General features: G+C 43.0%; 2 protein-coding genes across 3 annotated transcripts, besides 11 other annotated features; both read right to left on the bottom strand.

Annotated features, from left to right (window-relative positions):
• On the bottom strand, window positions 180–16,245 carry BUB3 (BUB3 mitotic checkpoint protein). Of its 2 annotated transcripts, none has more exons than NM_004725.4 (8): window positions 16,162–16,245; window positions 15,535–15,729; window positions 14,920–14,989; window positions 12,767–12,918; window positions 10,082–10,240; window positions 8,234–8,411; window positions 7,819–8,035; window positions 180–6,827 (listed from the first exon to the last, which is right to left on the bottom strand). In NM_004725.4, exons 2-8 carry the CDS (start codon window positions 15,727–15,729, stop codon window positions 6,812–6,814), a joined length of 987 nt encoding a protein of 328 aa, NP_004716.1. In that variant the 5' UTR covers window positions 16,162–16,245; the 3' UTR covers window positions 180–6,811. The 2 variants fall into 2 exon arrangements, with proteins under 2 accessions (NP_004716.1, NP_001007794.1); NM_001007793.3 differs by having other exon boundaries at window positions 5,282–5,600.
• Window positions 15,595–15,664: an enhancer, noted in NCBI's record as "active region_4151". NCBI's record gives its function as "activates an Ori minimal core promoter by ATAC-STARR-seq in GM12878 lymphoblastoid cells {active_cell/tissue: GM12878}" and the evidence as "EXISTENCE:reporter gene assay evidence [ECO:0000049][PMID:35858748]".
• Window positions 16,280–16,574: an enhancer, noted in NCBI's record as "tiled region #11829; HepG2 Activating DNase unmatched - State 1:Tss, and K562 Activating DNase matched - State 1:Tss". NCBI's record gives its function as "activates a minimal TATA promoter and a strong SV40 promoter by Sharpr-MPRA in HepG2 and K562 cells {active_cell/tissue: HepG2 | K562}" and the evidence as "EXISTENCE:reporter gene assay evidence [ECO:0000049][PMID:27701403]".
• Window positions 16,391–16,560: an enhancer, noted in NCBI's record as "experimental_10624 CRE fragment used in MPRA reporter constructs". NCBI's record gives its function as "activates a minimal promoter by MPRAs in K562 erythroleukemia cells, with activity observed for both the introgressed and non-introgressed 10:124913688 or rs3808962 variant alleles {active_cell/tissue: K562}" and the evidence as "EXISTENCE:reporter gene assay evidence [ECO:0000049][PMID:34662402]".
• Window positions 16,395–16,554: an enhancer, noted in NCBI's record as "active region_4150". NCBI's record gives its function as "activates an Ori minimal core promoter by ATAC-STARR-seq in GM12878 lymphoblastoid cells {active_cell/tissue: GM12878}" and the evidence as "EXISTENCE:reporter gene assay evidence [ECO:0000049][PMID:35858748]".
• Window position 16,475: a transcriptional cis regulatory region, noted in NCBI's record as "Neanderthal adaptively introgressed variant 10:124913688 (GRCh37/hg19 assembly coordinates) or rs3808962 in the experimental_10624 CRE". NCBI's record gives its function as "modulates activity of the experimental_10624 enhancer by MPRAs in K562 erythroleukemia cells {active_cell/tissue: K562}" and the evidence as "EXISTENCE:reporter gene assay evidence [ECO:0000049][PMID:34662402]".
• Window positions 19,196–19,415: an enhancer, noted in NCBI's record as "active region_4149". NCBI's record gives its function as "activates an Ori minimal core promoter by ATAC-STARR-seq in GM12878 lymphoblastoid cells {active_cell/tissue: GM12878}" and the evidence as "EXISTENCE:reporter gene assay evidence [ECO:0000049][PMID:35858748]".
• Window positions 19,706–19,765: an enhancer, noted in NCBI's record as "active region_4148". NCBI's record gives its function as "activates an Ori minimal core promoter by ATAC-STARR-seq in GM12878 lymphoblastoid cells {active_cell/tissue: GM12878}" and the evidence as "EXISTENCE:reporter gene assay evidence [ECO:0000049][PMID:35858748]".
• Window positions 19,816–19,885: an enhancer, noted in NCBI's record as "active region_4147". NCBI's record gives its function as "activates an Ori minimal core promoter by ATAC-STARR-seq in GM12878 lymphoblastoid cells {active_cell/tissue: GM12878}" and the evidence as "EXISTENCE:reporter gene assay evidence [ECO:0000049][PMID:35858748]".
• On the bottom strand, window positions 19,975–22,511 carry HMX2 (H6 family homeobox 2). Its single transcript, NM_005519.2, has 2 exons — window positions 22,001–22,511; window positions 19,975–21,077 (listed from the first exon to the last, which is right to left on the bottom strand). The coding sequence occupies exons 1-2, from the start codon at window positions 22,266–22,268 to the stop codon at window positions 20,524–20,526; spliced, it is 822 nt and encodes a 273-aa protein (NP_005510.1). The 5' UTR covers window positions 22,269–22,511; the 3' UTR covers window positions 19,975–20,523.
• Window positions 20,400–20,694: a silencer, noted in NCBI's record as "tiled region #2134; HepG2 Repressive DNase matched - State 4:PromP, and K562 Repressive non-DNase unmatched - State 23:Low". NCBI's record gives its function as "represses a minimal TATA promoter and a strong SV40 promoter by Sharpr-MPRA in HepG2 and K562 cells {active_cell/tissue: HepG2 | K562}" and the evidence as "EXISTENCE:reporter gene assay evidence [ECO:0000049][PMID:27701403]".
• Window positions 21,802–21,931: a silencer, noted in NCBI's record as "silent region_2903". NCBI's record gives its function as "represses an Ori minimal core promoter by ATAC-STARR-seq in GM12878 lymphoblastoid cells {active_cell/tissue: GM12878}" and the evidence as "EXISTENCE:reporter gene assay evidence [ECO:0000049][PMID:35858748]".
• Window positions 22,322–22,641: a silencer, noted in NCBI's record as "silent region_2902". NCBI's record gives its function as "represses an Ori minimal core promoter by ATAC-STARR-seq in GM12878 lymphoblastoid cells {active_cell/tissue: GM12878}" and the evidence as "EXISTENCE:reporter gene assay evidence [ECO:0000049][PMID:35858748]".

The following is a 22,676-nucleotide window of genomic DNA, read 5'->3' as shown; positions in this document are numbered from 1 at the left end:
GTGGGCTTATTCTGGGATAGAAACGGTTACCAGTTACCATTTATACAAACTTGCAAAAAATGCAAAGCCCGTATTTTATATGGATACTATATAAGCAAAAAAAGCATAAATGGGCACAACACTGAAGAAAAGTGGAAAATGGAAATGGGGCGAGGGAGGGGTACAAATGAGGCTTCAAACATGTGCAAAACTTTATTTTAAAATGAAGAGATAAAATACAGAAAAACATTGAACTTTTTAAAATCTAAACAGTGGGTTTATGGGTATGATCCTGAGTTTTTCTGAATGTTTGAAATAGTTCATAAATATTTTAACAGAAAAAAAATACTGGCATTTAAGAACTAGAAATCCCGTATATATCTGAGAACTACATCATGTAAAAGAAAAAAGAATCTAAAAAGTCAGCTAATAATTATATCTGAGAGTGAAGTGTTAAATATTTTTCATCCAAAGAGAGTAGATATTTTCAACTCACTGTCAGGCACACTCTGATAAATATTTAACATACTTGTTCCTAACTCCATGAGCTAGGTATTCTCTTCATTTTACAGATGAGGAAAATAAGGCTCAGAAATTTTATTTTTTAGATTAAGATAAGGTCTCACTCTGTCACCTAGGCTGGAGTGCAGTGGTGCAACTTCAGCTCACTGCAACCTCAACCTCCCGCACTCAGGTTATCCTCCCGCCTCAGCCTCCAGAGTAGCTATGAACTACAGGCATGCACCACCACATCCAGTTAATTTTTGTATCTTTTGTAGAGATGGGTCACGCCATGTTGCCCAGGCTCACAAATTAACTTAGCTAGTGGCCCCCTGAATAAGCAGTAAAGTCAGGATTCAGCGCCAGGTTCAAAGGCTGGACTCTAAGATTCACGCTGTCAAATCACACTGCCTGACCTGTTAAACCAGCAGATTCAATTCTGGATGAGTGACAGGCCCTCTGAGTGAGTGGGCTCAAAGATTTGACAAGATGCTAGGCTCCCTTCTTTTTAAAGTATAACCAGAAGGCTCTCGAACAAGGAATTTCTGCCCACATTGCTTTTCCTAGTGCCCAGATTGTCACAGTGCCTGCATTAGCCACTTTGGTGATCTTAGACTTCAAGCAGTCACCAAACTTAACTAAGTCCCTTACTACCAGGGCAGTGGCTGTGAAGACCAAAGGTTGGCCAAGGTCTTGAAAACAAAATGTGGCCACGTTGTGGTATCACAGCATCTGTCACAGTGTTTTGAGCCCCAGAACCTAGCAGTGGCTGGCACATCACAGGCACTAAATAGTTGCTCAAATAATCAAATTCTAACTAGGTGGCCCTTAAAAATAAGGTAAAAAATAAATCATGGGCAAAATTTCATATTAAGTGCATGAAGCAAGATATTTATGTAATATGATCCAAATTTTGTAAAAATTATGTATACTAACTGGCCCTCACTTGCTCAGGCGCATCTTAGCCACAGGTACGTAAGTGGACACCTGCAGCCTCTCGCTCTGGAACAGCCGATAGGGGGAAAGCCCGTGCAAGGCTCACTCACAACTATCACCAGCCACATGGAGCACCTGCCCACATGATACCTGGGGGTGCAAATTTGAAGTTGCCATTTTCCCTCCATGTCATGGAATTCCTCATGGCCAGAATCCTGATAGTCATAGCCACAGGCTCTTTTGTATCCAGGCGTCAGATGCTCTAGGGCAGGGGTGTCCAATCTTTTGGCTTTCCTGGTCCACACTGGAAGAATTGTCTTGAGCTACACATAAAATACACTAATACAATAGCTGATGAGCTTAAAAAAAAAAAAGTCACAGCTGGGTGCAGTGGCTCATGCCTGTATCCCAGCACTTTGGGAGACCAAGGAGGGCGGATTACCTGAAGTCAGGAGTTCAAGACCAACCTGGCCAACATGATGAAACCCGGTCTCTACTAAAAGAAATACAAAAATTAGCCGGGCGTGATGGCGGGTGCCTGTAATCCCAACTACTCGGGTGGCTGAGGCAGGAGAATTGCTTGAACCCGAGAGGCGGAGCTTGCAATGAGCGGAGATCGCGCCACTTGCACTCCAGCCTGGGCGACAGAACGAGACTGTGTCTCGAAAAAAAAAAAATCACAAAAAATCTCACGTTTTACAAAAGTTTATGAATTTGTTTTGGGCCACCTTCAAAGCCATCCTGGGCAGCATGTGGCCCATGGACAACAAATTGGACAAGCTTGCTCTAGAGGATGACTTCTAAGTATAGCTATGGGCATCCCCCTCAAAGTGGACACCATGCAGGCTGTGTGGCTTGTGCAAGTCACACCATCCCAAATAACATCTTTAAATTTGTCTACCCAGGCATTTCACATGATGTAGCTAACAAAAACTTTTGCTGTTAGAGAAATATACAGAAAATCCTGAAGGATGGATATACACCAAGAATGTTAAAAGTAGCTGCCTCCTATGAGATGAGTAAGTTCTGGAGCCCTGACATACAGTGTGGTGGCTATCTTAGTAATAATGAATTGTATACTTGAAATTTGCTGAGATTATTTATTCTCACCACATAAAAAAATGACATAGGCCGGGTGGGGTGGCTCACGCCTATAATCCCAGCTCTTAGGGAGGCAAGAGGCGGGAGGATAGCTTGAGCCCAGGAGTTCGAGACCTGCCTGGGCAGTATAGCGAGACCCCGTTCTCCAGAAAAAGGAGAAAAAAAAAAAGCGTAAAAAATTACATAAATTTGTAAATGTAATTTGTCAACTTGTAAATTTGTTTAACTCAATTTAACAAGGTGATGGAGATGTTTAGTAACCTCCTTGTGGTAATCATTTCACAATGTATACATGTATCAAAACATTATATACCTTAAATATATACAATTTTCATCAAATACCTCCATGAAGCTATAAAGAAATTTTTAAGTTATATCATAGGATTGTGATAGTATGTTTCATTTTTTGCATGCTATCCAAATTTTTCTGCAGTAAACATATCACTTCTAAGACACTAAATGCTTAATGAACAAAGCCAAAGGTCACCTGTCTAGTGCACTGGACAAGATGTCTATACTCCAAAATTATATTTCAAATTATTTTAAAAGGAGTCTATATAATTCAGCAATATCAAAGTGGTCCAACAGTCATGTGCCAGAGCATACAAAAAGATGTGGTCCTGCTCTTGCTTTAAGTAGGAAAGCAAGATGTACGCATACAAAAATGTTTAAATGCCAGGCAATATGAGGAACTACTGCTAAAGGTATACAAGCAGGAGGTGTTTCATACGTGTTTTGAGAAAGGGCACACTTATTTGTGAGCTGCAACAAGGAAGAAGGGCTTCATGGAAAAGGGGGCCTTGAACAGGACTTTGCAGGATTCAAATTAAATCCTGAAAGAGCAATTCAGAAAGAGAATGACCCTGGGCAGACTGAGATTTGGGAATCAACACAAGCGTCGGAGTGATAGTGAAGAAAGTAACCTGGCTCTCAGCGTAAGAGAAGAACCCCAGTGTTTTCTGGGGGAGTGGTAAAAGGTAAAATGATTGTGGGAACAAGACCAGAAAAAGTAGAACCGGCTTAAATGAATTTGGGGAAAACTGAGTTAAACAAATTTACAAGGATTCGTTGTAGTGATCTAAGCTCTCAGTAGGCTAATGTGCGTTGAGTCCCCACTGAGGGAAGGAAGCTAGTGTTATTAGGGTATAGAAGATACCTTTGGCAAAGCAGGAGTTTAACAGATAATGGAGGAAAAACAATGAAGGGTTTGAATGCTAAGGCTAAACTGGGCATTCTGGCCTTGGTCCTTCTAACAAGGCCTGGATCTCCCACAGAACAAAGGCTAACCTGCTAATATACCTTTAAGTTTTTACACAACAGAACTCAGAACCAGATATTGCTGTCACTTCCCATCCCATCCACTTATTTATATTCCCAACAAAGGTTAGTCCCATCTTCTGAGAGCACCTTACAGTCCGCGGCCCCTTCCTGATGATCTAGAAGCTTGGGAAGCAGCACACCTCCTTATGAAATCACTGAAGGGTGACTATGAGCAACAGGAAGCAGTGGAGGATTCCAAGTATGACATCAGAATACATTTTTTAAAAATCTTTTAGAAATTTTTTAGAATCTGATCAAGCAGTTTTTGCAAATTACAGGTGACAGGCATTTGTTGTAAAATCAATTCAAGGTGACATAGCCAGGATTTCTTAAAAAGCAAAGAAAAAAATGCACACATGCACCAGATACATCGCATGCAAGAAGGGCAAGTCATATTTCAGGATCCTTCTGTCATGTATAATATACTGACCTCTGTGTTCTGAACTGTAGTTCAAAATGTATTTCTTACTTGGGTCACAACTACAAGGTTCAAAAGTCACTACTCTATTAGATGGAGGACTTAAGGCAGAAATTGGAGGCTGCCACATTCACCCAAAAGGCCCTGGGATGGTAGCAGTAGGAAGAAAAGATAAACAGAAGAGACACTTAAAGAATGTGGGTGAGGGAAACCAATGAGAAGGCCAAGGTAACTACACCTGGGTAACTTGGGGAAAAGGTAGCTATAACCATAAACAAGTAAATTGTGGAGAGCTGGTTAAGGGGTATGTAGAGATGGCAGGGAGGCACACTTGATTTCCAGAGACAAGAGGACATCCAGATGGAACCACAAAATAAGCCCTCCCTCACCACCTCAAAAACAAGTCCACATTACTATAATTTGGTTACCTATAACAATACTATATTAATTCTTTCACTTATACAATGTTTTAAACTTATGGTCTGTCCTCAACCAAGTGGTTAGGGACTTTTAGAAGCACATAATCACACTAAAGAACTAATACCATCAGTCCCTGGCTATTACATTATTTACCTTCCCAAGGGCTTCACTGTGATTTAGTATTTGATGGCTAAGTACAGAAGGGTCTGTTATTTGGCTCTGTGTGGACTATGACTACATCAACACGGGGATGCACAAGCTACCTAAGCACTACTGCGCTGGCACTAGTAAAGCACTGAGCCAAAAGGTCCCCAGAGGCTGCCACATAGTCTCTGCCCATCCTGAGTGAAGCTGCACACTTGGCTCAAAGGCCCTGCTGATCCACCGAGAGGGCACAAGGGGGCATGAGGGAAATGGCTGAACTCCAACAAATCACTTTATGCAGGACTGAATCCCCAACACACATCAGAGGAGACAATTAAACGAGGGAGAGTGGACTTAAAGGTAAAATGTCATCCCCCAACATGCCTGTGATGACGAGTTTTGCCTTACACAAGCCTTTTTAAGTAAATTATATTAATTACCAACATTCAAAAACATCCAACATTCAAGGGTTCTGCATCTCGTTTATTAGCACAGAAATAACAGGTTTAGAGTATATTACAAAAAGAGCTCAAACTGTTCAGATACAGCAACTGGGCTTACTAGGGGACAGAAGGGGAAATACGTCAGACTACTGTACAGGGACACAAAGACTCCTCATCCTAAACAAAGTATTAAGGTACATAGACAAGTTTCTTGTAAGACAGAAAACAGAGAAATCCACAGTAACTCTAACACATCCCTTAAGGAATAAGCATGTATTTGTAGGAAGCAAACAAAGCTTTCCATAGAGAAACCACTTTCACAGGATGATTAGGTGGACCTGCAATGAAGAAAATACATTTCAAAAGATGGGTTCAGACTTACACCAAGTTTTCACTGAAATACTTAAAAAAAAAAAGACCCTTCTCTGTATCAAAAGAATTAAAAAAAATACATCACGGATAAAATAAATCTCAGGAAAGGTCCAAGTCCTACTCAGAGACATACATTTGCAAATTAATATAAATTTTAAAGTTTGACAACAAAAATACTATTTGGAACTACCTAGAATAGGCCAAGCTAAGTTCGTGTTCTGCTTTAGTGCATTACATTGAAATGAATCTCATTCTCACTATAATTTTTTTCTTTTTAACTTTAATCACCAGCGGCTGGTCAACTGAAATGGACATAAGAACTATATAAATGTCAGAGAAATATGTAAACCTCATTAATGTTTCCAAAAATTCATTTAGAGATAGAAACAGGTCCAAATAGATGCCTGTCTAAATGCACTGCAATTACGTTACAATTATTTTTCCAAATACACAGATATGCTCTGTCTTTTCTCAGCTCATTACTGACTCAAACAATTTGCCCTTCTGGGATCAATTGTTTGCTAATAAATAATTGTTTACAGTCACAAAATGATATTAGGAGGTTTTCTTATTAGTTTTCCTTCTGCACCCTAATAAGATTGAAAACTAGCTGATTCCCAAGAGTCTAACCTTAACCTCGCTTTGTTTAACAGCCCAGGAAATGATGAACCATCTGCTTCAGAAAATAATGGACGGCCAAGAGGAAATATTGTTTAATTGTAGATTAACCTCCTCATGAAGCAGTCTGAAGCAGCTTTAGAATTAGCAACTATAACCAGCAAAAGAAACAAATGGCTCACGAGCCTTTTCCTCTACCATTTAAGGTCCAGAAAGAATGCAAAGGGATTTTTATTACACTTATTTACAAACATTTATTTCCACAGTGGAAACAAAAAATCATCAAGGTCAAAACTGATTCTCAAAACTGCAGTCACTTGCCCTCCAATTTTGTTTGCCCAAATACCTTTAATGCAGCAAACCATCAAACCATCTCATGCACTTAAGAAGGTGTTTATTTAAAAAAAAAAATTCAAAAACCTCTTTTCCATTATTTTCAGGTTGTTATAATATTAAAATTAATATTTTCCCTGGTTTCTTTAATAGTAATAAATCCACCATTGGGGAGTACGAATTGTTTTATTATCATCAACATGGCACTTAAGTAAATGAAATCTTGTCAAGTACATGGTGACCTACAAGTTCAAAAGAAAAAAAGAACAGCATGAGATCAAAATGGCCAGCCAGGACAGGAGATACAAAAGTGACAGATTAAATGCAAACACAGCCCTTTATCCAACAGGCTTCACATGCTAAGACTTTTCTAAAGTCAAACCTGTAAAAGCATATCTGATATGGAATATTTAATATTCTGCCCCCTCTTAGGGGCTCAACCAATCAGCAAGGGTACCATATCCATTTTAACTCAGCAAAGTACAGGAATCCTGAAAACATTCAGTTATTCTACAAATATGTATCGAGAACTTCCTTTAAGGGCCTGGGGAGAGGGGACAAGGAACTGGGCAGATACTTGGAGTAGGTATTTTATAGTTTAACACATGCTGAAGTATCAGATTTCCCTTAAAGCCTGGTAGAGGTAATTAAGTAAAAAGCTTTGCCCTGTTGGTATCAAAAAATGTAAATGGCTCTTCTCAGTCAACAGTTACAACCAAGAACCAAAGACATCTATGAAAATTTCAAAACTAAGGAAATTTGCAATTCCAGGCAAGGCCATATTACTCTGAGTTTCCAATAAGACCTGAAGGTCACTTACTTTGTGTTAATATTAAAGAAACAACCTCTGTGGAGAGGAAAGATTTTTGGCAGTTCAAATTCTTAAACATCTTAAATAGAATTTACTAAAATAAATTATTCTTGAATTCCTCAACTTAATTTTGAAGCAATGAGCTGGTAATAACTCCAGAGATTCAAATAATAGAGCCTATTCAAGAAGAATAAGAGTTTGACATTCTTCTCTACAAAACAACTAGGCACAATTTTATCCATCAGACGTCTATCAACCTACGGATATTGAAAGCTTGGGAGAACATGATAACATCAACTCCAACCCTACAGTCAGCTGTAATATCGAGCAGGCATCAACAATGCTATTCATGAATTTAGAAAAATTAATAAATCCTGGGTTGAATGCAAGAAAAGGCTCAAATACAGGTGAAGCATACTCACTTGGGTTTTGTTTCTGCATCTGTCACTTGGCGAATGAAGATACCATCTTCAGGATGTTCTGTGTCATCCATTTCATACATATATGATGACGCTATTGCAAGCGTAGTCCCATCATTACTGAAGGCAAGTGATGCGATGCTCGTGGGGTACCGATGGAATTGGCACAGTCGCTTTTTGTTAAATGGATCCCAAATATTTACAAAGCCATCAGAACCACCTGGAAGTAATTTCAAAACAGTTAAAATGGTTCTTAACACCAGATACAGAAATAACCATTCTCTTAACAGTTAATTTTTAAGGTCATAGAAGTTACATTTCCCTAAAGCACTGTACAGATTTTTTTTCACTAAATACCATAAAAAGCAAGCACCAAATAGTATAATAATTAAATATAGGTCAGCATGCCATACTTTACCTGTGGCAAATGTATTGTGGATATTGTGAAAAGAAATGGCATTGACTGGGTAAATCTGCTCAATATTATTTTCTTTTAGTCTGTGACATTTGAAGGCATACTTCTTCTTCTGTACCTCAGGGCTTGGGTCCAAATACTCAACTGCCACTCGGCCTTCAATAGAGCTTAATACATAACCCTGCCAAGAGAGAACCAGAGGAAAAAAATGGTAAATTCCAGCTTCCAAAAACAAGGTGCTAATTCCCAAATTCAACCCACACTAAAGAGTGATTATTTCAGAAATGAGAAGTACAGCAGGCTTTAATGAAGTGTTTAGGCTGTACTAACATGGTTATGACGACTTTAAAAAGAAAATAAGACTCATCACATGCTTTCCTCACAGGTACCAGGGCCTTGCACATTACAATAAAAAATATCTAGTTACTGCATCAAACCTAAACAAAAATTTAAAGTGTTTTAGTGTCGCTTATTTGTTGTCCTGCCCAGCAGACTCAAATTTGTTCCCTCAGTTAAAATATATTCTTCTATGTTCTGTGCCTCTTCATCGCGAACAACTGTTAAGAATTGTGTTTCCTTCATTGGGGGCATCAATAATCCAAATCAACTAGAACACCAGTCTTCCATCTCAGTCATACTACTTCTTGCATTTAATACAGCAAGTCAGGTTTGCACAAAGACTTTCAGGGACATTCAAAAGTGGTTTACAATTTTAAACGTTTTTTCATCTTTCGTTGAAATGACAGTATCTTAAAAAATAAGAGCTAACACACCAAATATGAAATCTATGATTTTTTAATCCTTCAAGGTATGAAAAAGATTTATTCCTGAAAACTGTTTATGAAGAAATATATAAGTCAGTAAAATCCTACTTTTTAACTTCCATTACAAAGTAGAAATAATCCTATATAAAATATTAGATATAATGGCATTAAAATAATGTTCACAATGTAAGCATATTTTAATCACATATCTAAATCTCTGAAGTTTCACATAACTGCAATTCTTTATCTTCGATGGAAACTTACAATTTCCTAAAAAAAAAGGAACTGTGATCACCATTTGAGGTACTGGCCTTTGCAGGTTAAAAAGCAAAGAGAATAACATACCTGCTTCAAGTTCTACAACCACCAAAGGACAGCCATAAGATACCAGAGACACCTTCTGTTTTTAATGACTTTTCCTCTTGCAAAATTCCTATTGCACCTGACCACACCACCATCTCCTCTTAGAACTTTAAGGACTTGAGGGAGGAGGGAGCTCACTAATAAACAGGCTAATATCATTTAGCGATGATGGAAGGTGACCCACCCTGTACATCAAGAGTCAGTCATAAGAGGGGCCCTGCCTCTCTAATCTCAGTTGAGTTTAAGAAAAAAAAAAACTATCAAAGTTCTATTGTCAAACTGGGGAAAGAACTCCATAAGCATTAGGGTTACAAAAAGGCAAAAAGAAAACAGCAAATTCCATAAGCTTAAAATCCAGATATAAATTTTAATTCAGCATTTTGTAAACTGAAATATCTGCAAAGCGCTCTTTGATTACTGTATACCTATGAAGCATCCTGGACCAGGATCAACAAAAGGTCAGAAAACCTCCTCTATTCAAACCACTTCCTGAGCAGATTACTTGGTCTCTCTGAACATCAAGGTCGTCTCTAAAATGGGGGTTAACGCACTTCCTGTTAACACATGGCTGTCAAAAATATCAAGGAAGAATACACCTAACAGCAAATTCTAAATCACTACTGAAAAAAAAAAAGAAGGCTTTAGGGGCTAGTGGCCAAATCATTATAATATAAGATCATATTATTTTCAAATTCCAGAAAGAAGAGGAGGTATAGTTCAATACCTGCTTGTTTGGAAACGCTCGTATGCAGCGAGTCTGGTATTTCAGGCTGGACTCCCTGCGCTGCTGCACGTAACCCATGTTCCGTAAGTCCCACACCAACACTCTGCGGCCTGCTGTTCCCACAATCAGCCGGTCTCCAGACACTGAGAGGGTATATACCTTTTAAAAAAGATCAAAACTTGCTAAAAATCACCTTCTTGCCTGAAAATGGCATTTTGCCCCAAAATAAAGTCCATCTGATCATAAGACCATAAAAAATTAGCTGACTGAATTCCCCAATCACAGATAACAATTTTAGATACTGCAATTATTCAAACCAAGTAATTCACATAAAATAGCAAACCCATGATGCTCTCCATACTTCACCAAGCATCATATAATGTACATTCTAAGTAATTCTGTAAAGGAGCTTTTGAAGTCTTAATTCTCTCCATTACTAAAACAAATTAAACTATTTTTCCTAGCCTTCATGTTTCATTTAGAGACAACATAAAAGTGTAAAAAAAAATTCAAAAATGAGATAATAGAGCCATAAAATAATTCAAGGTAGAGCTTAATGGGTTTCTGGCTTTTCATAAAACAATCATTTTCAAAACTATTTTTCTAAAACCACCTTTTAGAATATTTCATTTTGCAACTCTAAAAATCTTGATTTTTTTTCCCCAGTTGTTACATGGAATAAATAGGCCTTTCCAGGAAGGGTGAGGGAGCCACCACTAATTAGATGTTTAGCAGCCTTTGGTGGCATACAAACTCAAAATTAAAAGACAAGATAGTGGTCTGACATATGACAAAGCAATTCTTGTGCCCTGATGTAATACTATGCATTCAAGATAGAAGTTCAACATTAGGGAAAATTTTTAAAAGTAGTGTATCCCCTATTTTTCCCCTTATAATGTCTTTCTTCAATATTAAACTTTCCACAAAAATTCCTTTATAATAAACCATAGAATTTCCTACAAGCAAACATTTAGTGGTTTATTTGCAAATATAGTGTTACTTGGAAACAAAACAGAGGTAGCCAACTCATTAAAAAGGTGGCAAAAAAATATTCTCCTGATCATGTTCAGTCACTTTTTAAAAATCTAGACTTGCGATTCACAACTGTGCTCTATTATTTTCAATTAATAAGAAACTCTAATCTGACTTAGCATTTTCAAACCTGAAGAACTGCCATAAAAAATGCAGAGAGGCCCCATGGCAAGGTAAGATGATGTCTCTTCAACATTCAGTACTTAAGCCATATGTTAATAATCACTAGTATGTTAACCACATACCATCAGCTGAAGAACCAAGTTAGCTTTAACAACGCCATGTCCCACCCCTCTCTAGAATCTGGCCTTAAAATTCAACAATTAATGTGACCAAGGGAAAAATAAGGAATTAAAATTAAGATTCAAAACAATAGATTTAATATAAGCAGATATAAATGTCAGAAATGTTAAGATTTATCATAGCTTACTCAGAAAACAAAATGTTTGCAGTAAAATGAAAATTAAGATGTATAAAGTACCAAACTTTAAAAATAAAGAATCCAGAAAGAGATCGATTTATAATGGTACAATCATACTGGGAATTTTATCTTAAATCTTTACTATATAGGTGACACACAAGCTTCTAATAGTGCTTTCTATCCCCACTGATCATAAATCAAGTGAAACCACTGTCATGCTACTGACTAGGTATATACATTTATCAAAGAAAGTATTAAAAAAAGTGACATAATGAACCTTGCTGAACCAATAAGCAGCTTGATTCAGTGTGGCTGTCCATTATATGATATTCTGTCAGCAATTTATCACAGTTCTTAACATGTTACATACAACCATAAATCAAAACTAGAAACAATGCAATTATTTTATTCTGAACAAAGGTCTTGCCAGGAGTAGATTCGACTGTGATGTGACAAAAATAATGGCTCTTTGGATGCACTATTGTAAATAATGATGGCTAACAGGAATTGAATAGTATATTCACGCTGAGGAAATAGACTCAAGTGAGGGATACCTTTAAACTGCTTAAACAATCAATCTTTAAAATTAACTACCACCTGATAAAGTCTGATGAGGATACAGAAGGAAAGCTCAATTACACTTTTATCATACAGATCAAAAGGTTAGAATAATACACAAAGTTTTGGTTTTAAAAAGCTTTGTTCACTAAGGTGCCTTGAAACTACATCTGTCAGTATTAAAAAATAAATATACGAACAGTACAAGCCAGGGAACATAAAACACCTTTCTTACTGAACTTGAAATGATAACCCATTTTGCCCTCTCAACAGTCAACCCAAAGAAACCTCAGATAACAAATGAAAATAAGTGATGCTCCATCCAATCTTCTGGTTTGGGATGGAGCGTCAATTTAAGACAATCGAACAGTCTGCTAAATGACTTCTCTGAAAAGGCAGTGAGTTGCTTCTCAATTTTGCGATTTAAAGCATTAACAATACATGGAAGCAAATATAACAACTGACAAATAAAAGTTGGCCCAAAATCCCAAAGTTAATTTTCTTTTGCATTAAAGCATTTCTATGTAGTTGGATTTATAAAACCAACTGTCAACCTTTTTTCCCCCCATGTTGACTTTTCACCTTTAAATTCAACAAGCATAGTCAACAATCATGCACCAAGACAAAAATCACCCCAAAACCATCAACTCCTGCAATGAATATAAAGAGCCTACCTTTTCAGGCTGAGAGAAGGTCCCAGCATTACAAGGAGTTCTGGGATCCCACAGTTTAACTGTCTGATCCCAACTTCCAGTGACCATCACATTCACTTCTGGACAGTATTCAACACATCTGATAGGGGCATCATGGGTCCCAACAAGATTTTCTATAGAGAAAAAAAAAGGGGAAAAAACCCCAACATCTAGCTTACTACCTTTACTAAAGATTCCTAAAATAAACAATTAAAAGAAACATTCATTCAACTGTAATGAATTTGCCTCATCCAACCCCATGGAAATGTCTACTACAGACAGAAAAATCTCTCCATGACTACAAAGTTATCCGTTCCTCTCTGTTCACCTTACAGTGCACACTTCACATGACTCACTAGTATTGCACATACCAAAGGCTGTCTTGAATTTCAGATTACATTAACATAGTGGCATGTCTGTTATCTTCCTCACTTGATTCTAGATTTCCTATCAGGAACTGCGTTTACCTCTGTGATCTCTGCCCGTATCTAGTGCAAGGTCTGGTACAGGCTAGGTGCTCAAGAAATATCTGTTGAATAAACAAATGAATGGAGAACTCTGGTCTTCTGGATCAACAACATTTATGTTGAACATTAAGCCAATGCTGCTAAGAAACTTATTTACATGGCTAAAGGGTTATGAGAACTGGGAGTGAAGTCCTCTCATTACTGCACTTGGTTCCACTGTGGTTCAAATTTTCAATAGACATTTTCTTTTCAATTTGAACCTTCTCACTATATCTCATTTATTCCTTCAACTAACATCTACTATGTACCAGAATCTGTGCCAACTGCTAAGGATATAGGAATGAACAATATATGGTCCTGACCTGCAAACAGTAAGATTAGCCCCAGCATTTTGGGAGGCCAAGGTGGGCGGATCACGAGATCAGGAGTTCAAGACCATCCTGGACAACACAGTGAAACCCCGCCTCTACTAAAAAATACAAAAATTAGCCGAGCATGGTGGCGCACACCTGTAGTCCCAGCTACTCGGGAGGCTGAGGCAGAATTGCCTGAATGCGGGTGGCGGAGGCTGTGGTGAGCCAAGATCACACCACTGCACTCCAGCCTGGTCAACAGAGTGAGACTCTAGCTCAAAAAAAAAAACAAGAAAGAAAAAGAAAGGATTTCATGAAGTTTGGCAGTGACTTTCATAGAATAAACAGCTAATTCTCTATGTAACACTGAAAATCGAGACGTTTGCTTTTCAGTGTTTCTCCCTACCCCTACAAGTTTCTGAACAAATAGAACCTAGACTTACAAGCTTACTTATTACACAGGGTAAGCTACTGGCAAACAAAACCCAATACCTGCAGTATAAGTTACAGAAGAAGTAGCTTTCATGCAAAAGCCTCTTCTAATTGGGTGCTTAGTTTTTTGACAAAATGTGGCCATCCTCCATCCATTCTCCTGTTGCTCAACTCATCTTCTCTCTAGTCATATCTCTGTACCCTCCTATCTCCTTAGAATACCTATGTCTGATGAATACACATGCAAACAAATGTTCAGCTAGAGAGCTCTATGCATTTGGGCTCCAGTCCAATCTCTAACACTGTGCCAATGTCACCAAAAAAATTTGAGTAAGTCATTTCATATCTGGATCTCTAAGAAATTACTTAACCGAAAGGAAATGTATCATCTAGTTACTCATTCAAAAAATGCAACGGAAACATATTTTGCTAAATACCTAAAACAAACACAATTAATATAGACATGATTGCCTATTTTTTGTCAGGTTTTAAATCTACCTTTAGCTTCTGAAAACTAAATTAGCTTCTAAAAACTGAACTCTCAAAACATCAGCATTGTAGTGGAAAATCCTAATGAAACGCTGGCCAGTCTGGGATCCAGCCCACTTCTAAGGACAAAATAAAGGCCAAATACTTGAGTGTCAATTTATGTAAACACTGACAATGGCGACCATAACTGGCTTTACTGCAAAAATACATGCATAATATTCTGTAATCAGTAACTTAATGGTTATCATTTAAATTAAAAAAATCCTAAATTCAAGCCACCTGTACTTAAGCAACTTAGTAACTAAGCAATTTAGGAACCACTCTTCCTACATAAACATTTATACTTAAGAACACTAGCCAAGAAAACAAACTGGTAAAGATATGGTCACATTACCTTGATCAGTGTTCAAATCATGCATTTTCAATTGATGATCTAGTCCTCCACTCCAGGCATGCGTTGGATCCTATAAAATAGTTTTGAACCGTTTAAAAACTAGAACTTTTGAAAGGGTTTCAACATTCTTATTTCTACAAGCAAGTGTTCAGTTTATGCTCGGGATATGCACTGGGCTCAACTATTCATGGTAAACAAACCAAAAAACAGCATAAAAAAGCAAGTGGTCACTAAACTCCTGTGTCTGGAAATTAAAGGAGGGCTGCTTTATCCTAGCCAACACGCTAGCTGAGGGTAAACATACATTTCCCCTAAACGGTTCCTTTCAATACGGCAGCCAAAACAGTATTGTTGCAAATATAATGATCGTATTTTCAGAAAGTTTAGAGTTACTCCACAAGCGTGTAACAGAAAAGGGGAGACGGAGTTTCCAATGTCTGCATGTCTCCAACCCAAAACGGTACAGGTTCAAGGCAGATGCTCCTGAAAAGCTAAAGAACTGTCCAAATAACCCCACCGACAGACGCCTCTACCCAACACTGGAAAAGAAACGCTCCTCACGTGGAGAATCGTTAACACAGTAAGAGGGCAGGAGCAGGGCGGGAGGGCACCTACGTAGAAGGCGCAGTCCAGGACGGCGCCGGTGTGCTGGTACTTGAGCCGCATGGAGTTGGCCGGCACATCGTAGAGACGCACGGACGTGTCCCAGGAGGAGACAAGCAGGAACTGGGAGGTGTTGGGGCTGAACTTCACGGAGGAGATGCCATCCTCGGGTGGCTGGTTCAGCTTGAACTCGTTAGAACCGGTCATCTGCAGAACAGGCGCCCAGAGTCCCCAGGGGTCCCGCGGGCTGGGGCTGCGCACTGACAGCCTGGCACTGGGGGTCCCCCCAGAGGGAGGGGCCGAGAGGACGACCGCGAGGAGACTCTGCGCTTGCGCCTGCGCCGAGCACTCGCCCGCCAAGGTCCGGACTCGCCCCATCATCCGGCCCCCGCCGCGCCCAAACCGGCCCAGCCCGCACCGCCGTCCCCCTAAACCCAGCCCGGCCCACAGCGATGCCCGGACCCCAGACTGTTCCCTTTCCCCTCTCCCGGGGTCCCGTCGCCCCGGGCACTCCTAAAAATAAAGGGAAAACAACAGAAACGAAACGGGATCCCCTGCGAATCGAACGGCCCTGCCAGTTGCGGACCCGGGAAGTCCCTGGAGAGCCCGCTCCCGCACACCGTCGCCTCGCCTCCCTACCTTGGGCTCCCCTCAGAAGCAACGTTTCCACTACTCGCCACTCGCTGCGGCCGCCGCCGCCTCCTTGCTTCCCTCAGAACACTCGCAGGCTAGGCGAAGGAGGCGGAGAGGAAGCTCCAGTGTAGACCTGCCATTGGCTGATTTCAAACGCCAACGTCTCAGTCTAGGGGGCCGATTGGTCCGCTCAGCTGCCCAGCATCGGTCAACCCAGTCATCCTGTTCCGGCTCAAAGGGAAACCGCTGCTTTTCCGATCACGTGGGCTCATTTTACCACCGCGCTGGGGCATCAGCGTTCGAGCTGGACGCGTGGAAACTACACCTCCCAAGGAGCATCGCGCCAAGGCTCTGTTCATGCCCTCTCCCGCCTGCGTATGGCATTCTGGGAAATGTAGTTTTCTAGGGGCTGACGCTCTGCCCGCCCTCTTCATAGAAAGCGGGAAAGATCTTTACAGCTCTGTCCATGGCGCCCTCCCCTTGAAGTTAGTCTCTGAAACACAAGAATCCCATTTTGGGCAATACTTATATAGTCCTAAAGTTGTCTCCCTATCCCTGGGCGTGCACACGCCCGTGAAGCTAACCAAAAGTTGATGTAGAGGAGGAAATATTTGCTCTATCAACTGCATTATTTTGCCTTGATTTTTTTTTTCTCATTTCTTGGGAATTTCCACCTATAAACCAGGGTCTCCCATTTCCCATTGTCTCAAGTTCTGCTGAAGAAACCCATTCATATTTATATTATGCTTTATCTCTCCACCCCATCTTTCCACAAACATTTATTGAGCCTCCACTGGCGCCAGGCCTGGTGAGAGGCTCTGGAAAGATGCATGTAATCAGACCAGCCTTTGCCCTTCAGGAACCCCCCTTCAGAAGGGTGAACAGCCTGGGAGACAGTACTCTGCAATGTGTTAAAGCTCCCACCACTTCTTTTAGAGCTCTTTTTTGAAGGGTCCTGAAACGACAGCTACAAGCCTCTCCCCTTCCACTCTGTCCTGCCACTCCCCAAAGTTGCAGGCTCAGTGTGCTCCATTTGCTGTTTTCTAGAATCCTCTAGAAATGAGGATCAAGAAGGTTGCTTGAGTATGAGAAATTATTTTATCTCCATGAAAGAAAAGCAATACTTAATCAGTAGAATGAAGTGACTGAGTTATTCTTGAATGTCAAAGGCTCACTGAAAAATTTCAATTTAATCCATGCTTTAACCGCTTTTTCACTGCCTTTTGTAAAAGAAAAATATATATCGTTTTATTTGATTTTGTGTGAAGTGAGAGAAAATTGTGGGGTTAAAGTGATTAACTTTTAAGGGACATTAATGAGAAAGTGTTGATGATCTTTATGCATTCACACACCCTGAATTGGATGCACCTCTTTCTGTGATTCCTGACACAAGAAACACACATACAACAACAACCTTTCTGCCTACTGCATTGATGACATTACTGCTGAAAGACTCTTGCCCTCCTTCCTTGCCAGTCCTGGTACTTGGTTCTCTATCTCTTCTCTTTCCACAAGTTAATGGCTGAATTCAAAATTTTGAAATGCAGTTCCTTACTTCCATTCTAACTTTAGCTAAATAATTTTACCTCCTGACTTATCTGGTTCCTTCTCCCAGTTGTTTATTTAATTATATTATTGTTCCAAGATTCTGAGCATGAATTACCCACTAATAAAATCTAAGTGTATTTCATTATCCAGTGTGTGTATGATTCAGGTCCCTCTGGGCATGCAGTTGCAGCCCGACTCGATTTGAGTTTTAAGAAACGTCAATCTTTTAAATCCAGTTTAGAGGCTGAAAGGAGGCTGATGATTTTGCTGATTATTCAAATGAATTGATAGTCTTGAGACAGGAAATCTGGCAACAATGGAGTCCTGAACATTTAAATCCAAATGCAAAGTTGTGTGTGTGTGTGTGTGTGTGTGTGTGTGTGTGTGTGTGTGTAAAACCTAGTTACCTGTGAGAGAGGAATTCCTAAGAACTAATTATACTGTTGGATCACGGTTGACAGCTAGTTTCTGGATTAGTAAAAAGAATGAAATATACACATCATGACAAACTGGAAAAGGATCATTCCCTAAAATTTTAAGGGCACAAATCACTGTCATTAAGTGACTGAAATGGCTATAAGAAACCACTTCCTATAAGGGAAACCTACAGAGGATACAGTGACCCAATACTGTTAAAACCATGATCTCTTGTAAAAACTGTAATCTATTGAAATGCAAACAAAAATGATATGGATGGAATATTCCTATAGAAGCAGTTCTTTGGACGCAGTTTGGTTTTTTCGTGGAATATTCCAAGAACATTAGAAAAAATTTCAAAAGGGTCATCTGAAGCAAAAGAATTTCATTGAAACGAAGTATATGTATACGATAAATCACAAGAAAACGAATCCACTGTCTCTTTTATCTGACTACCCAATAGCATAGTTTCTCAGCATGTACTAGGGCCCAGTAAATATTTACTGATGTAAGCTCAGTTGAAATAAATGTAATTGAACTAAGCTAGTGTCGGCAGATGTGTTCTTGGGTAACATCCTTCTGACATCACCCTGGAATAGATTGTGATTTTTATGAAATCTAATGTGAGAAGAAAAAACATGATCTCAAAATGGACAACATGAGATAGAATATGTTTGGCCAGTTTACAAAAAATACTGCGAGTCACATAGATGTTTACAGATATCCTGTATATATTCACAAAATGTAGATGATTTCGATGCCTTGCAGCTCAGAGTCAACTCTCACACGCAAATGTTTTCCTTCTAGCGGATGAGATAGGGCCTCAGCGCTGCGGACTCCAGGCTCCTTTGCATCCGCTCTGCCCAGCCAGAGGCCGGAGGAGCTCGCCCCAGGTGGTGCTGAACCACCGGCTTCCTCCAAGCTCAGGCTTCCTTTTCCGAGGTTTTGCCAAGAACAGGTGGCTGCAATCTATTGGGAGCGAGAATCTGCAATTTGCATGATACTCCCGCGGCTATTCTCTCGGTGCAGCGCCCTCCCAGCCCCTGCGCGGCCGCAGGTGTCAGGGCGAGGAAGTCCGTGGGCGCCCCCGCCGCGCGTCAAGGTTCCATTCAGAGCAAGCGGCCGCGTGCTAGCCGGTGATCCAGCCACACGCTGAACCAATGCAAACTATTAACAACAAAAGAGTGTAGGGAAGCGCCTTTGCCTCCCTCACCTTCTTTGCCTGGTCCCGGGCCTCGGATCTCTCCTGAGCCGCAGAACTGCCTCACCGCGCCCAGTTCCCTCTCCGCGCGAGACACATAACTCTGCCACCGGCCGGGTAGCTGGGCGCAGCGACAAGCTGGTCGCGCCAAGCTCGCGGCGAGCAAAGTGGAGGCTTTACTAGGTACAAGCAGCGCCATCGCCTGCTTTATACCCCTGGAGAGGAAGTGCGCGGCACAGGGCATGTCATAGCGGGAGCTGCTGTGGCCAAGCTCAAGGCGAGCCCAGTGCCGGGAATATGCCGCTGGGCACCCAGCTCGCTTGTTCCCAGAAGGCAATCGCTTAAATGGCGAGGCCTGCCTCCCAGTCTTTGTCTTTCTCCGCGCGGACTCTTGAGCTGGATTCCAGCCGGGGTGCGCCCCAGCCCGCGCGACGATTCTGGGCGTTAGGAGGGAGAGTGGGCGGGCAGCTCCAGCCACGTGCAGTCTGGGCGGCGCCAAGGTCCCGACCTTTAACCCCTGACCCCGGTCCCACCCTCCACGTGGAGCGAGCCAAACTTCCACAGACAGACGCATGCAAGTCTTTCCACCGAAAAACCTGAAAACCTTCCGTGCGTTATCATGCCGGGTAACCAAGCCCACCAAAGTTAGCAAAGATGTTTAAAATGTTTTATTTTTTTTTCTTTTTAAAAATATTTACAGATCTGAACTCTCCCCTTTTCGTCCCTACCATCCTCGGGATGAGGGAAACGAAAAGAAGCAATTTAGTAATTGTCCAAAGCCTCTGAGGGCCTGGCTTGGCCGAGCGTGTATGCATGTACATATATACAGGTGTATATATGGGGGAGGAGTGTACCTGGTTTTGTAGGTGTTTTCCTGATTTTTTTCCCTACCAACCACAGCCTGTCTGGCCAAAACTCCCTTTCCCACCACCACCCGAGAACATCTCACTCCGAATGGTTTTCAAAGCGTACTGGTTCGGTCTAGGTAGGAAGCAGGCTCTCTGACTTAGGGAATGCCAATAAATACCCGAAACAATCAAAACAAAAAGTAGGGCAGAGACCATAAATAAGAGCTAATGAATACACATGGTGTATTTCTTCATATTTCTGGAAACACGCCGCCTTGCTCCGGAGCCCTGCTTACAGTACAGTACGCGCCCGGCTCTGCGGGCAGCTGGGGGCGGCGCGGGGCGGCGGGCCGGTCAGTAGTCGAGCTTGTTGTATAGGTTGTAGAGAGGTAAGGCCGAGAGGTTGCTTCCCGGGTAGTAGAGCGGCGCGGGAAAGGCGAGCGAGCGCGGCACCGGCACGCGCAGCAGCGAACTGTCCCGGAACACCAGCGGCATGCTCACCAGAGTCTGCGCCGACGCGTGCGCCATGTTGGCCGCCTCCAGCTCAGCCGAGAGCTGCCGCTTCCACTTGTTGCGGCGGTTCTGGAACCAAGTCTTTACCTGGGTCTCCGTGAGCTGCAGGCTGGAGGCGAGGCAGGCGCGCTCCGAGCTGCTCAGGTAGCGCTTCATGTCGAAGGTGGACTCGAGCTGGTACACCTGGCTGCGCGAAAAGACGGTGCGCGTCTTCTTCTTGGCCGCGCCGGCCTGCCGCTCAGCGCCGCCGTCCCGCGGCCGCTCGGACCCCGGCGAGGGCGAGCCCGCGGGCAGGAGCCTCTCTTTCTCTTCTTTAAAGTCCGAGTGCGAAGGAGAGAGGAAAGGCGTGCGCTCCAAGCCGCCCGGGCCCGAGCCTCCGCTGCCCTTGGGGGTACCTGAGGAGCGAGAACAGACAGAAAGGCCATGGAGTTGGTTGGGGAGCCTCGGAGACCGCCAGCTCTCCCTGGGACCAAGCGGTTGGCAAGCGCCTGCAGCCTTGGTCCCACCTTACCAATCCCCTCCTCTTATCCCTCTCACTGGCCCCCCAAACCCAGCACCCCGTCCTTTAAAAGCGACAAGAGAGGGACCCAGCTACTTGGAGTATGGGGTCTCTGTGCTCCCACCTTTATGAATGGGCCAGGGGCAACAGGGAGAGGAGGTCTGGAGGGGGAAACATTAGCATGGTTTTAAAAGGCGAATTTGCTTGGTGGTAATTGAGCTGGAAGAGTTCCTCGAGCTTTATAGGGTGGCATCATTTCACAGGCCGTTTGTTTGGAAATCACGCTAAGGACTAACGCAGGACTCCCCTTCGTCAAATGTTGTAAAGAGGAACCGTCTCTGAAATGCACCATTGTCAATCATCTTGGAGTGCTAATCATTCCAAGGAGGAGAGAGAGAGAAAGGCAGAGATACGGAGCGAGTGAGGAAGAAGACTCAGAAAGAGATTACGGTGGAGACAGACTGCCCAGACCCGACTTGCAGATCTCCACCTCGTGTCCGGAAAGAAAGTACCAGATGTGCAGTGATTGAGGACAGCCGGGTGTAAGGCCGGCCGCGTGTCCCTCTCGCTGTGGTCCACTCTCTCAACAACTCAACCTTCCCCAGGAAGCCCAAGCCGGCACGGGTCTGTGTTCGCCTGCTCCCAGGGGCCCACCGGGCGGAGGAGGCACCACAGTGCGCGCCCCTCTCCCCGCGGTCCCGAACCCCCGGCTGCCGCAGCTCTGGCCAGAGGGGGCCCGGCGCGGGAGTCTTGGCGGGGCGCTCAGCCTCCCTCCCCTCGCGCTCGCTCGCTGCCACACTGGCGACGTGCGATCCTTACCCAGGCAAGGAAAAGGGATGGGGGGATGGTGCTTGGGGCCCTGCTCCTTAGGGCCGTGCTGGTCTGGGCAGAAGCAGGCGGGCGCCTTCCAGCCGTCGTCCGGCTCCTCCTCCTCCGAGGACACGGACAGGCTGCGCTTCCTGGCTGGCCAGCCGACGGGCTCCCGCGGTGCCTCCGAGGGGCCCCCGCCCAGGATGGACTGGATGGTGAAGCTGGAGACGCCACCGGCCGCCGGACACCCCTTGCCCGCATCTTCTTTGCTGCCCATCCTGGGTTCATAAGAAATCGAAGGAAACCAAGAACTCCCTTTAGAGACGATCTGGGTGATCTGGGTGGAAGGTGGTGCAGCAGGCAGGCAGTGGGGAGGGGCGGGGAGGAAATCTAGGGGGAGGGGGCGCCGAGGCTGGTGAGGCGTCCCTTCCGCGCCAGGGACATGCAGGCACCGGATGGCTGCGCAGGGGTTCCTGCCCGCCTGGCTCTGGGTGCGCCCGCCCAGCCCCGGTGCAAATGCCCCTTCCTCGCCCGCCAACTCGCCGGGTCTCCGGCGGCGCGGAGGCGGCGCGGCCTCATTTGCATAGAGGTTACCCGAACGCGGCCAATCGCAGCGCCGCCGAGCGGCCCCGGAAAATTTCAAAACGCTCCGGCCAGGCACACAGCACCGGTGCGCCCCCAGAGC

Source organism: Homo sapiens, chromosome 10 (genome assembly GCF_000001405.40).
Source record: "Homo sapiens chromosome 10, GRCh38.p14 Primary Assembly".
Taxonomy (NCBI): Eukaryota; Metazoa; Chordata; class Mammalia; order Primates; family Hominidae; genus Homo; species Homo sapiens.
The sequence above is the reverse complement of the archived record's forward strand: the minus strand, read 5'-3'. Positions and strand labels throughout refer to the sequence as shown.

Coding starts and splice junctions, on each gene's coding strand:
- BUB3 (NM_004725.4), bottom strand. CDS start 15,729: ATGACCGGTTCTAACGAGTTCAAGCTGAACCAGCCACCCGAGGATGGC. Junction 10,241..12,766: donor CCTTCTCTCAGCCTGAAAAG/GTAGGCTCTTTA, acceptor CTTTTTTAAAAG/GTATATACCCTCTCAGTGTC. Junction 8,036..8,233: donor CCACAATACATTTGCCACAG/GTAAAGTATGGC, acceptor AATTACTTCCAG/GTGGTTCTGATGGCTTTGTA.
- HMX2 (NM_005519.2), bottom strand. CDS start 22,268: ATGGGCAGCAAAGAAGATGCGGGCAAGGGGTGTCCGGCGGCCGGTGGC. Junction 21,078..22,000: donor CATCCCTTTTCCTTGCCTGG/GTAAGGATCGCA, acceptor CTCGCTCCTCAG/GTACCCCCAAGGGCAGCGGA.